The following is a 12,109-nucleotide window of genomic DNA, read 5'->3' on the forward strand; positions in this document are numbered from 1 at the left end:
TGCAGAAACTCTTTGGCTTAATTAGATCCCACGTGTCAATTTTTGCATTTTTTGCAATCGCTTTTGGCAACTTTGTCATGAAATCTTTGCTTATGCTTATGTCCGGAATAGTATTGTCTAGGTTGTCTTGCAGGATTTTTATAATTCTGGGTTTACGTTTAAGTCTTTAATCCACCTTGAGTTAATTTTTGTATATGGAAATGGTCCAGTTTTAATCTTCTGCATATGGCTAGCCAGTTATCCCATAACCATTTATTTAATAGGGAATCCTTTCCCCATTTATTTTTGTTAAGTTTTTTGAAAATTAGTTGTAGGTGTACAGTCTTATTTCTGAATTCTCTACTCTGTTCCATTGGTCTATATGCATTTCTTTGTGCCACTATCATGCTGTTTTGGTTACTGTATCCCTGAAGTATAGTTTTAAGTTGAGTAGTGCGATGCCTCTAGCTTTGTTTTTTTTTGTTTGTTTGTTTATTTGTTTGTTTGTTTGCTTATGATTGCCTTGGCTATTTGGGCTCTTTTTTGGTTCCATATGAATTTTAAAATTGTTTTCTCTAGTTCTGTAAAGAATTTCAGTGGGAGTTTAATATGAATAGCAGTAAATCTATAAATTGCTTTGGGGAACATGGCCATTTTAATGATAGTAATACTTCTATCCATGAGCGTGGGATGTTTTTCCATTTGTTTGTGTCATCTCTGATTTATTTGAGCAGTGGCTTGTAGTTCTCCTTGTAGAGGCCTTTTACCTCCCTAGTCAGCTGTATTCCTAGGTATTTTATTCTTTTTGTGGCAGTTGTGAATGGGAGTTCATTCCTGATTTGGCTCTTGGTTTGACTGTTGTCAATGTATAGGAATGCTAGTGATTTCTGCACATTGATTTGGTATGCTGAGACTTTTCTGAAGTTGTTTATTAGCTTAAGAAGCCTTTGTGCTGATACTATGGGATTTTGTAGATATAAGATTATGTTATCTGCAAACAGTGATAGTTTGACTTCCCCTTTTCCTATTTTGATGCCCTTTATTTCTCCCTCTTGCCTGATTTCTCTGGCTGGGACTTCCAATACTGTGTTGAATATGGGTGGTGAGAGAGAACATTCTTGACTTCTGCTGGTTTTCAAGGGGAATGCTTCCAGCTTTTGCCCATTCAGTATGATGTTGGCTGTAAGTTTTTCGTATATGGCTCCTATTATTTTGAGATGTGTTCCTTTAATACCTAGTTTGTAGAGAGTTTTTAACAGAAATCAATGTTGAATTTTACCAAAAGCTTTTTCTGCATCTATTGAGATCATTATGTGGTTTTTGTCTTTGGTTCTGTGTATGTGATAAATCACATTTATTGATTATTTGTAGGTGTTGAACCAGTCTTGCATCCCAGGGATAAAGCATACTTGATCATGGTGGATAAGCTTTTTGATGTGCCACTGGATTTGGTTTGCCAGGGTTTTGTTGAGCACTTTGCATAAATATTCATCAAGGATATTGGACCAAAGTCTTCTTTTTTGTGGTATCTCTGCCAGGTTTTGATATCAGGATGATTCTGGCTTCATAGAATGAGTTAAGGAGGAGTCCTTTCTCAATTTTTGGAACAGTTTCAGTAGAAATGGTACCAACTCTTCCTTACACATCTGGTAGATTTCAGCTGTAAATCCATCTCCTCTTGGGCTTTTTATTTCATTTTTTGGTTGGTGGGCTATTTATTACTGCCTAATTTCAGAGCTGATTATTGGCTCTGGGACTCAATTTCTTCCTGGTTCAGTCTTGGAAGGGTGTATGTGTCCAGGAATTTATCCATTTCTTCTAGATTTTCTAGTTTATGTGCATAGAGGTATTTGCAATATTCTCTAATGGTTGTTTGTATTTCTGTAGTGTCAGTGGTAATGTCCCCCTTGTAATTTCCAATTTTGTTTATTTAGAGCTTCTCTCTTTTCTTTTTTATTAGTCTAGCTAGTGGTCTGTTTTCTTTATTTAAAAAAAAACAGCTCTTGGATTTCCTGACCTTTTAAATGATTTTATGTCTCAATCTCCTTCAGTTCAGCTCTGATTGTGGTTATTTCTTGTCTTTTGCTAGCTTTCGGGTTGGTTTGCTCTTGGTTCTCTTGTTCTAGTTGTGATGTTAGCTTGTTAAGTTGAAATCATTTTAACTTTTTGATATGGGCATTTAGTGCTATAAATTTTCCTCTTAACACTGCCTTAGATTTGTCCTAGAATTGCTGGTATGTTATATCTTCGTTCTCGTTAGTTTCAAGGAACTTTTTGATTTTGGCCTTACTTTTATCATTTACCCAAGAGTTACTCAGGAGTAGGTTATTTAATTTCCATGTAATTGTATCACTTTGAGTGATTTTCTTAGTCTTGATTTCTAATTTTATTGCACTGTTGTCCAAAAGATTGTTTGTTGATATTTCAATTCTTTTGCATTTGCTAAGGAGTGTTTTGCTCCTGATTATGATATTGATTTTAAATATGTGCCATGTGTTGACAAGAAGAATGTAAATTCTGTTGATTTTGTGTGGCGACTTCTGTAGCTAATTATCAGGTCTATTTGATCTAGTGCTGAGTTCAGGTCCTGAATATCTTTGTTATTTTTCTGCCTTGATGATCTGTCCAGTGCTATCAGTGGAGTGTTGAAGTCTCCCACTATTATTATGTGAGAGTCTAAGTCTCTCTGAAGATCTCTATAAACTTGCTTTGTGAAGCTGGGTGCTCCTGTGTTGGGTGCATATTTATTTAGAATAATTAGACTTTCTTATTGAATTGAAACCTTTTTCTTTTTTGATCTTTGCTGGTTTAAAGTCTCTTTTGTCAAAACTAGGATCGCAATTAATGCTTTTTTGTTTGTTTGTTTTCCACTTATTTGTATTTTTTTTTTACCATCCCTTTATTTTAAGTCTATGTTTGTCACTGCATGTGAGATGAGTCTCTTGAAAACAGCATACTAATGGGTCTTGGTTATTTATACAGCTTCCCACTATGTGTCTTTTAATTAGGGCATTTAGCCAATTTACATTTAAAGTTACTATTGATATGTGTGGATTTGAGTCTGTCATCATGATGTTAGCTAGGTATTTTGCAGCACTATGATAAACCACACTGTTTACGTACACAATGGTCTGTGTACTTCATTGTGCTTTTGTAGTGACTGGTAATGGCCTTTCCTTTCCATATTTAGTGCTTCCTTCAGGAGTTCTTTTAAGGGAGTTCTGATGGTAACAAATTTCTTCAGCATTTGCTTGCCTGAAAAGGATCTTCTTTCTCCTTCACTTATAAAGTTTAGTTTGAATGGATAAGAAATTATTTGTTAAAATTTCCTTTTGAATATTGGTCCCTAATTTCTTCTGGCTTGTAGGGTTTTATCCAAGAGGTTCATTGTGAGTCTGATGGGCTTCCCTTTGTAGGTGACCTGGCCTTTCTTTCTGTCTGCCTTTAACATTTTTTATTTCACTTTGACCTTGGATAATCTGAGCATTACATGTCTTGGGGATGATTTTGTGGAGTGTCTTACTGGGGCTCTCTGCATTTCCTGAATTTGAATATTGGCTTTTCTAACTAGGTTGAAGAAGTTCTCATGGAAGATATTCTGCAATATGTTTTCCAAGTTGGTTCCATTATCCCTATCTCTTTCAGGCACACCAGTCAGTCGCAGATTAAGTCTCTTTACATAATCCCATATTTCTCAGAGGTTCTGTTCATTCCTTTTGATTCTTTTTTCTCTGTTCTTCTCTGTCTATGTCATTTCAGCAAGCCAGTTTTCAAGCTCTGAGATTCTTTCTCCATTTGGTCTATTCTGATGTTCATAATTATGATTGCATTATGAAATTCTTGTAGTGTGTTTATTGGCTCTACTAGATTGGTTACATTCCTCTCTATACTGGCTATTTTGTCTGTCAGCTTCTGTAATATTTTATCATAATTTTTACCTTCCTTGCATTGGGTTATAGTGTACTCCTGTAGCTCAGTGAACTTCATTTCTATCCATATTCTGAATTATATTTCTGTTATTGCAGCCATCTCAGTGTCAGCCTAGTTCCAAACCCTTGCTGGAGATTTTATGTGGCCATTTATAAGAAAGATGGCACTCTGACTTTCTGAGTTTTCAGTGATCTTGTGCTGATTCTTTCTCATCTTTGTGGGCTTATCTACCTTCAACCTTTAAAGTTGCTGACCTTTGGATGAGTTTCTTTTCTTTTTATTTTCTTTTATTCCATTTGGTGACATTGAAGGTTTTATTGTAGTATGAGGAAGAATCAACTGACTGGCTTCATTTCTGGGAGATTTTAGGGGGCCAATCATCAGCTCCAGGCTCCCGGACTATGTGCTGTTACTCTGGGAAACGTGTATTGGGCCCTATCATTATTTTCTGGCTTCTTGAGGTTTGGAGTCCGCTGCACTGGGGGGACCAAAGTGTGGCAGCTGCAGCAGAGTGCTAGCAGATACAGGGGTGCCTGCCTCCCTGCAGGTGTTCACCACAGTGGTGGAGGCAAGGCAGCTGGCGGGGAAGCAAGGGTCCCCTCCTGATGATTGTGTGCACTGTTGCACTGGAGGCAGTGTCAGCTTGGGGCAGGGGGCTGGCCAGTGAAGGTCTGGGTGCCTTGTCTGTCTCCAGCAAGCAGGAGTGTCACTCAGGGTGTGGGAAGATCACTCAGGGTGTGGGAAGATCCCCTGATCTCTGCACAATGTCAGAACAAGGGTGAAGTGCTGACAGGGGTGGGGCTTCCTGGCTCTGTGCATCAAGGCTCCATCTGTAATGGTGGTTGGTGGGGGTGGAAGGGCACACTGCACTCACACATGCTGGTGGGGCAAGTGATGCAAAACCCACCCATGCAGATACATGCCAGCAAAATAATGTGGGGAATTGCCATGGGCTCAAAGAAAGCTAACCAGCTCTCCACCAATCAGGTGAGGTCCACAGACACAGAAGCTATAGTGTGGGCCCCCAGGGCACCTGAGACTGCCCTGTAAGCAGACGTGGCCATGCTGGTGCCCCAAGTGAGGCCAGCAGACCAACCATCAGGTTGGACCAGCCCCATCTGATGTTCAAGACTACCCCACAGAGATCAGATCTGACAATTCCCCTAGGACTAAAGTCTTATGGGAGTAAGTTGAGCCTAGAAGGATAATTGACCCTGGCCACACTCCACTACAGACTCTCCTACACCAAAGCTTCTGGTCTCCACATCAGCTGGCTTGACTCCTGGGGCTCCATTCCAGAGAGATATGGGTCAGCAATTGGTCAGGATGGAGGGCCTGTGTTGTGGGCTGAAGCCAGGAGTTCCCTGTCTGGTAACAAGTAATGGGGGTGTTTAGGACCCATGGGAGACAGGCTGGCCTCCTCTCCTTGCATTGACTGTTCGAGGTATGGATGAGAAGCTTATGGTCTTTGCTCCTTTGTTAGTCTGAGCGTAGCAAGGATAGTTCCACTGCAGAGACAGTGGCAGAGAGGCTTTCAGTTGCCTCTGGAGGCTCTTTCCAGGGAGTTGCTTAATTGCTACTGGCACAATAGCTCTGGCAGGGGGTGGCTACAGGCCCAGACCTGGAGAACCTGCCCAGTGAGGAAATATGGGAATGGGCACCAATGTAAGAGTCTGGCCATTTTTTCATAGGGCTACTGCAGTATGCTGGGAGTCCACTCCAGTCCCTAGTCACCTCAGATTTTCTAGTACCTGAAAGTGTCACCAGTGAAGGCTGAAAAACAGCAAAGATGGCAGCCTGCCCCTCCCTCTGGGAGCTCTGTCCCAGGGATGTACAAACCTGTTTCCAGTCTGAACAGACCTGTAGGAGGTGGCTGGAGACCCCAGCTGGCAGGTATCACACAGTGGCAAGGAACAAGATCAGGAACCCAGTTTTAAAAGAAGTCTGACCACATTTTTGTAGAGAAGCTGTGCTGTGCTGGGGATCTGCTTCAGTCCCCAGTCACCTTGGACTGTCCAAAGCCTGAAGGGTGAAACAGTTAAGTCACCCAAACAGTACAGATGGTGGCACACTCCAGCACCTGAGAGCTCCATTTCAGAGAGGCCTGAAACCTCTGTCAGCCATAGAATACCAGCAGGGGCAGCCAGAGACCCTGGTTGGGAGGCCCTACCCAGTGATGAGGAACGGGATCAGGGACCCATTTAAAACTCATTCTGGCCACATTTATGTAGGGCAGCTGTGCTGTGATGGGGTACCACTTCCACTCCTGGTCAGCTTGGATTCTCTAAAGCCCAAAGGCTAGAACAGCTAAGTTGCCCAAACAGCAAAGATGGCGGCCCACCCCTTCCTCTGGAAGCTCCATCCCAAGGAGTTTTCCAAATCTCTGTAGGCCGCAGAATACTGGCAGGAGAGGCTGGAGGCCCCAGATGGGAGGTCCTGCCCAATGAGGAGGAACAGGATCAGGGACTAACTTAAAGAAGCATTGTGGCCATGTTTTTATAGAGCGGCTATGCTGTACTGGGGCATCCCTTCTACCCATGGTCAATTTGGACTCTCCAAAGCCTGAAGGGCAGAACAGATAAGTCACCCAAACTGCAAAGTTGTTAGCCCACCCCAGCCCCTGGGAGTGCCATCTCAACGAACCTGAAACTTCTGTCAGCCAGAGAATACCACTAGGGGTAGCTGGAGATCCTGGTTGGGAGGCTCCACCCAGTGATGAGGAATGGGATCAGGAACCCACTTAAAAAATCAGGCTGGCAACATTTATGTAGGGCAGCTGTGCCTACATAAACTTGGCCAAAATGCTTCTTTAAGAGGGTCCCCAATCCTGTTCTTCCTCACTGGGCAGGACCTCCCAACTGAGGTCTCCGGCAACCCCTGCTGGTATTTTCTGGCTGACAGAGATTGTAGAGCAGCTGTGCTGTGCTGGAGAATCCCCGCTGCCCATGGTTGGCTTGAACTCTCTAAAGCCTGAAGGCCAGAACAGATAAGTCACCCAAACTGCAGGGGTTGGCGTGCCCCTCCCCCAGGAGCTCTATCTTAGGGAGGTGTAACACTGCTGTAAGTGGCTGGCTGGAACTCCAAGACAGTGGGTCTTATTCTGTGAGGTGTCATGTAAATGGGGCCCACAGACTGCCACTGCTCAGCTCTCTGGATTCAGCCTCTTTCCTAGGGGTATGTATAGGGTTCTAAACCTCCTGCTTTGGCTGAGTTGCAGCTGCTTTCACTGGGAATCCTAGAAAGCTAAAGTATCTAAGGTTCCCAGGTCTCCATGCATGCCTGAGTGGCTGCTCTGCAGAGACTGTACATAGCTCTGTGTGTCAGACGGAAAGCCCTGGTGGATTAGGTCCATGAGAGGATCTCCTGGCCCAAGAGTTGCAAAGATCCATGGGAGAAGCATGGGATCCCAGGATCGTACATCCACTTAGTACTTCCCTGGGTGGAGGATGTTCCCTTGGCTCTGTGTTGCTCCCAGGTGGGCTGTATTATTCAGTTTCCATGCTGCTACAAAGAACTGCCTGAGATTGGGTAATTTATAAGAAAAATAGTTGTAAATGACTAACAGTTCCAAATGTCTGTGGAGGCCTCAGGAAACTTATAATCATGGCAGAAGGCAAAAGAGTAGCAAAGGCAAATCTTACATGGCAGCAAATGAGAGACAGAGTAAATGAGTGAAGGGGGAATAGCATCTTATAAAACCATCAGATTTCATGAGAACTCACTCACTATCATCAGAACAGCATGGGGGAAATTGCCCCCATGATCCAATTACCTCCCACCAGGTCCCACCCTCAATCTTTGGGGATTATAGGGATTACAATTCAAGATGTGCTTTGGGTAGGGACCCAGAGCCAAACCATATCATTCTGCCTCTGGCCCCTCCCAAATCTCATGTCTTTTCACATTTTGAAACCAATCATGCCTTCTCAACAGTCCCCCAAAGCCTTAACCCATTTCAGCACTAACTCAAAAGTCTATATTCCAAAGTTTCATCTGACACAAAGCAAGTCCCTTCTGCCTAAGAGCCTGTAAAATCAAAAGCAAGCTAGTTATTTCCTAGATACAATAGGGGTACAGGCATTGGATAAATGCTCCCTTTCCAAATGAGATAAATTGGCCAAAACAAAGGGGCTACAGGCCCCATGCAAGTCCAAAATCCAACAGGGCAGTTATTAAATCTTAAAGCTCCAAAATGAGATCAGGATCAGGAAACCAATTTAAAAAGTAGTAGTCTGACCTCATTAACTCCATATCTCACATGTGAGACATGCCGCTATAAGAGATGGGCTCCCATGATCTTAGCCAGCTCCAACCCTGTGGCTTTGCAGGGTACACTTCTGCTCCTGGCTGCCTTCATGAGCTGGCATTGAGTGTCTGAAGATTCTCCAGAGGCACAGTGCAAGCTGTTGGTAGATCTACCATTGAGGGGTCTGGTGGATGGTGGCCCTCTTCTCACAGCTCCACTAGGCAGTGCCCCAGTGGGGACTCTGGGGCCTCCAACCCCACATTTCCCTTCCATACTGCCCTACCAGTTCTACATGAGGGCCCCACCCCTGCACCACACTTCTGCCTAGACAGCCAGACATTTCCATACACTCTCTGGAATCTAGGTGGAGGTTCCCAAACCTCAGTTCTTGACTTCTGTGCATCCGCAGGACCAACACCACGTGGAAGCTGCCAAGGCTTGAGGCTTGTACCCTCTGAAGCAATGGCCTAATCTGTACCTTGACCCCTTTTAGCCATGGCTGGGATGCAGGGCACCAAGTCCTCAGACTGCACAAAGCAATAAGACCCTGGGCCTCACCCACAAAACCATTTTTTTTCCCTCCTAGAACCCTGGGCCTGTGATGAAAGAAGCTCTCCTGTGAAGGTCTCTGACATACCCTGGAGACATTTTCCCCATTGTTTTGGCTCTTAACATTTGGCTCCTTGCTACTTATGCAAATTTCTGCAGCTGGTTTGAATTTCTTTCCAGAAAATAGGTTTTTCTTTTCTATTGCATCATCAGGCTGCACATTTTCCAAACTTTTATGTTCTGTCACCTCTTGAATCCTTTGCTGCTTAGAAATTTCTTCTTCCAGGTATTCTAAATCATGTCTCTCGAGTTCAAACTTCCACAGATCTCTAGGGCTGGGGCAAAATGCTGCCAGTCTCTCTGCTAAAGTATAGCAAGAGGGACTTTTGCTCCAGTTCCCACTAAGTTCATCTCCATCTGATACTACCTCAGCCTGGATTTCATCGTCCATATCACGATCAGCATTTTGGTCAAAACTATTCAACAAGTCTCTAGGAAGTTCCAAACCTTTCCACATCTCTCTGTCTTCTTCTGAGCCCTCCAAGCTGTTCCAACTTCTTCCTGTTACCCAGTTTCAAAGTTGCTTCCACATGTTCAAATACCTTTTTTAGCAGCACCTCACTCCTGGTACCAATTTACTGTGTTAGTCCATTTTCATAGTGGTATAAAGAACTGCCTGAGTCTGGGTAATTTATTAAAAATGAGTTCTAATTGACTCACAGTTCAGCATGGCTGTGGAGGCCTCAGGAAACTTACAATCATGGTGGAAGGCAAAGGAGTAGCAAAGGGATGTCTTACATGGTGGCAGTTGAGAGACACAGAAATGAGTGACGGGGGAAGAGCCCCTTATAAAACTATCAGATCTCATGAGAACTCACTCACTATCATAAGAACAGCATAGGGGAAACCACCAATCACCTCCCACCCGGTCCCACCCTCAACATGTAGGGATTATGTGGATTGCAATTTGAGATGATATTTGGGTGGGTTCACAGAGCCAAACCATATCATGGGCCATCTTCCTGCCTTGCTTTTTTCCATTATCCATGGGTCAAATTGTTTACTTGATTAGTCCCAATGTGAGTACCTAGATGTTTCAGTTGAAGCTGCTGTATTTACTTGCCTCTTCTTCTCCTCTTTGTGAGAGCCATGCACACTAGCTGCTTCTAGTCAGCCATCTTGGCCACTCCCCATCAATTTGTATTGAACAAGAACGAAAAGATTTGTTTTTAATTTTTGTAATTATTATATCTTACTTCAGTAAAGACCATTAACTCCTAATTTTTCCATCTTCCATCCCCAAATTCTATCAGCTTGTCTGAAAAACACACTCCCATGTACTCCCACACCACAACCAAAATAACTATATAAAAAATAAGTACCTAGAAGTTGAAAGGGTAAAGACGTAGGAATACAAAAAAACAAAAAACAAAAAACAAAAAAAACTGATACTATTCTTTCTATAATTCTGGAATTTAAACTTATTTTAATTTAATAATTCCCTCAGAAATGTTAAATATGAAACTCGTTCTCATCTCTAGCTCTCAGAGAATGAAAACATGATTTCCAGTTATGTTATTTCATTATAAAAATGTTAGCATAAAATAATTAGAATATCTCCAAGGCATTTTTAATTTTGTAATTCTAACTCTACGGCCCACAGAGTTTATTATACTGTAATAGAACCTGTATATTGAATTGTGCCTATTTTTTCAGTGTGTGTGTACATATATATGTTGGGACTAGCCTACTGATTGATTCTAAAAACTTCCATTCTATGAAATTTAATTCAGTAAATACTTATCGATATTCTTATGACAGGTCCTGTACCTAGAAAATGATTGAGGAAGTTTCTGTGCCCTCAAAGGAACCAGAATTTATAAAAGAAAATTTAGCTTATATAACTTCTCCATTCTGAATTAGACAAATATTTTTAGATACAATAATTACAGTTCTTCCTTTTACTTCCTTTAAACTTTACCAACCTGTGACATTCTAATTTTTAAAATTGTAATAGTTAGCTTTCTACACACCATTTAGGTCATCTGCCTACATCAAAAATGCATCACATTGAACTTTGCTGATTAATGGCATTTATACCATGGATTGCCATGACAAATGGTGCCTCGCTGTTGTCATGCAGTCTGCATGACCAACGAACAGGCAATGAAGATATAATCATAGGTATCACCAGGTCCAGATTAGATGGATTAGACAGTATAATACTACTTGCATAATACTGTAGGATTGGCTCAAAGTTTAAGCTTAATTTTCTCTATTATTTATAGATATACTAAAGTGAGAACTGCTTATTAAAAATCTGGAAAAGTGTTTCCATGATACCATGTTTCTCACATCTCCAGAATACAGCCTTACCAGTAGACATTTGTATACTAGAACATATTTTAACTGAAAGGGATTCTAGAGAGCATTTAGATTCTCTGTGTCATTTTATTGTAAAAAGAAGGCCTACAGAGAAGAAGACAGTTTTTTCCCTCCTCTTTTTACTGCACTTGCAGCATAGGCAAAGCCAGAATTTGGTCAGCTGGCTCATAATCCAATGGCCTTTTTCCTTGAACTTGATAAGTAGACATTTAATTTTAATTTGAATAATTAAGAAAACTCCTTAAAATGTGTCCCTGTGCCTCTCCTGAAGGTGCCCTCTTAAACATTAGCAGCTAGACCCTTCTTTTCTAGATTTTTTTTTTTTAAACAAGTCTCACCCTGTCACCCAAGCTGCACTGGAGTGCAGTGATGTGGTCATAGCTCACTGTAATTGAGCCCAAATTCCTGGGCTCAAGTGATACTCCTGCCTCAGCCGGACGAGTAGCTATTCCTATAGGGATGAGCCACCTTACCTGACTAATTTATTTATTTTTTATAGAGATAGAGTCTTGCCATGTTGACCAGGCTGGTCTTAAACTTCTGGCTTCTAGCAATCCTCCTGCCTTGGCCTCCCAAAATGCTGGGATTAGAGGTGTGAGCCACTGTGCCCGGCCATTTCCAGATATGTTTATGGTACCCACACTTAAGATTGGATGGACTCACAAAATCCAACTCTGAAAATCAGGCAAGTCTCCTGAAGGGAAGTAGAATCTGTTCTTTTAATTCAAGCAAAGCAAACAAGGATCATTACCACATTCCAAGATAATGAGAATATCCAAAGATGATCCCTCAGTTGGTAAGGGATTCCTACCACACAGTTATGTCATAATTTCTCTGCTCATCCCCTCTTGGAAGTGATTTTTCCACTGTCTACACTAGAGTCTAAAGGAGAGTGCTTTACTTCTTTTCAAAGAACTCCTTTAAAAGAATAGCTAAATAGCCACCATAAAAAGGTCTCATATATATGAGGCTTATATACTCATTTATATGAGAAGCCTTAAAGAATAACTTTGCATCACG

Source organism: Homo sapiens, chromosome 7 (assembly GCF_000001405.40).
Source record: "Homo sapiens chromosome 7, GRCh38.p14 Primary Assembly".
Taxonomy (NCBI): Eukaryota; Metazoa; Chordata; class Mammalia; order Primates; family Hominidae; genus Homo; species Homo sapiens.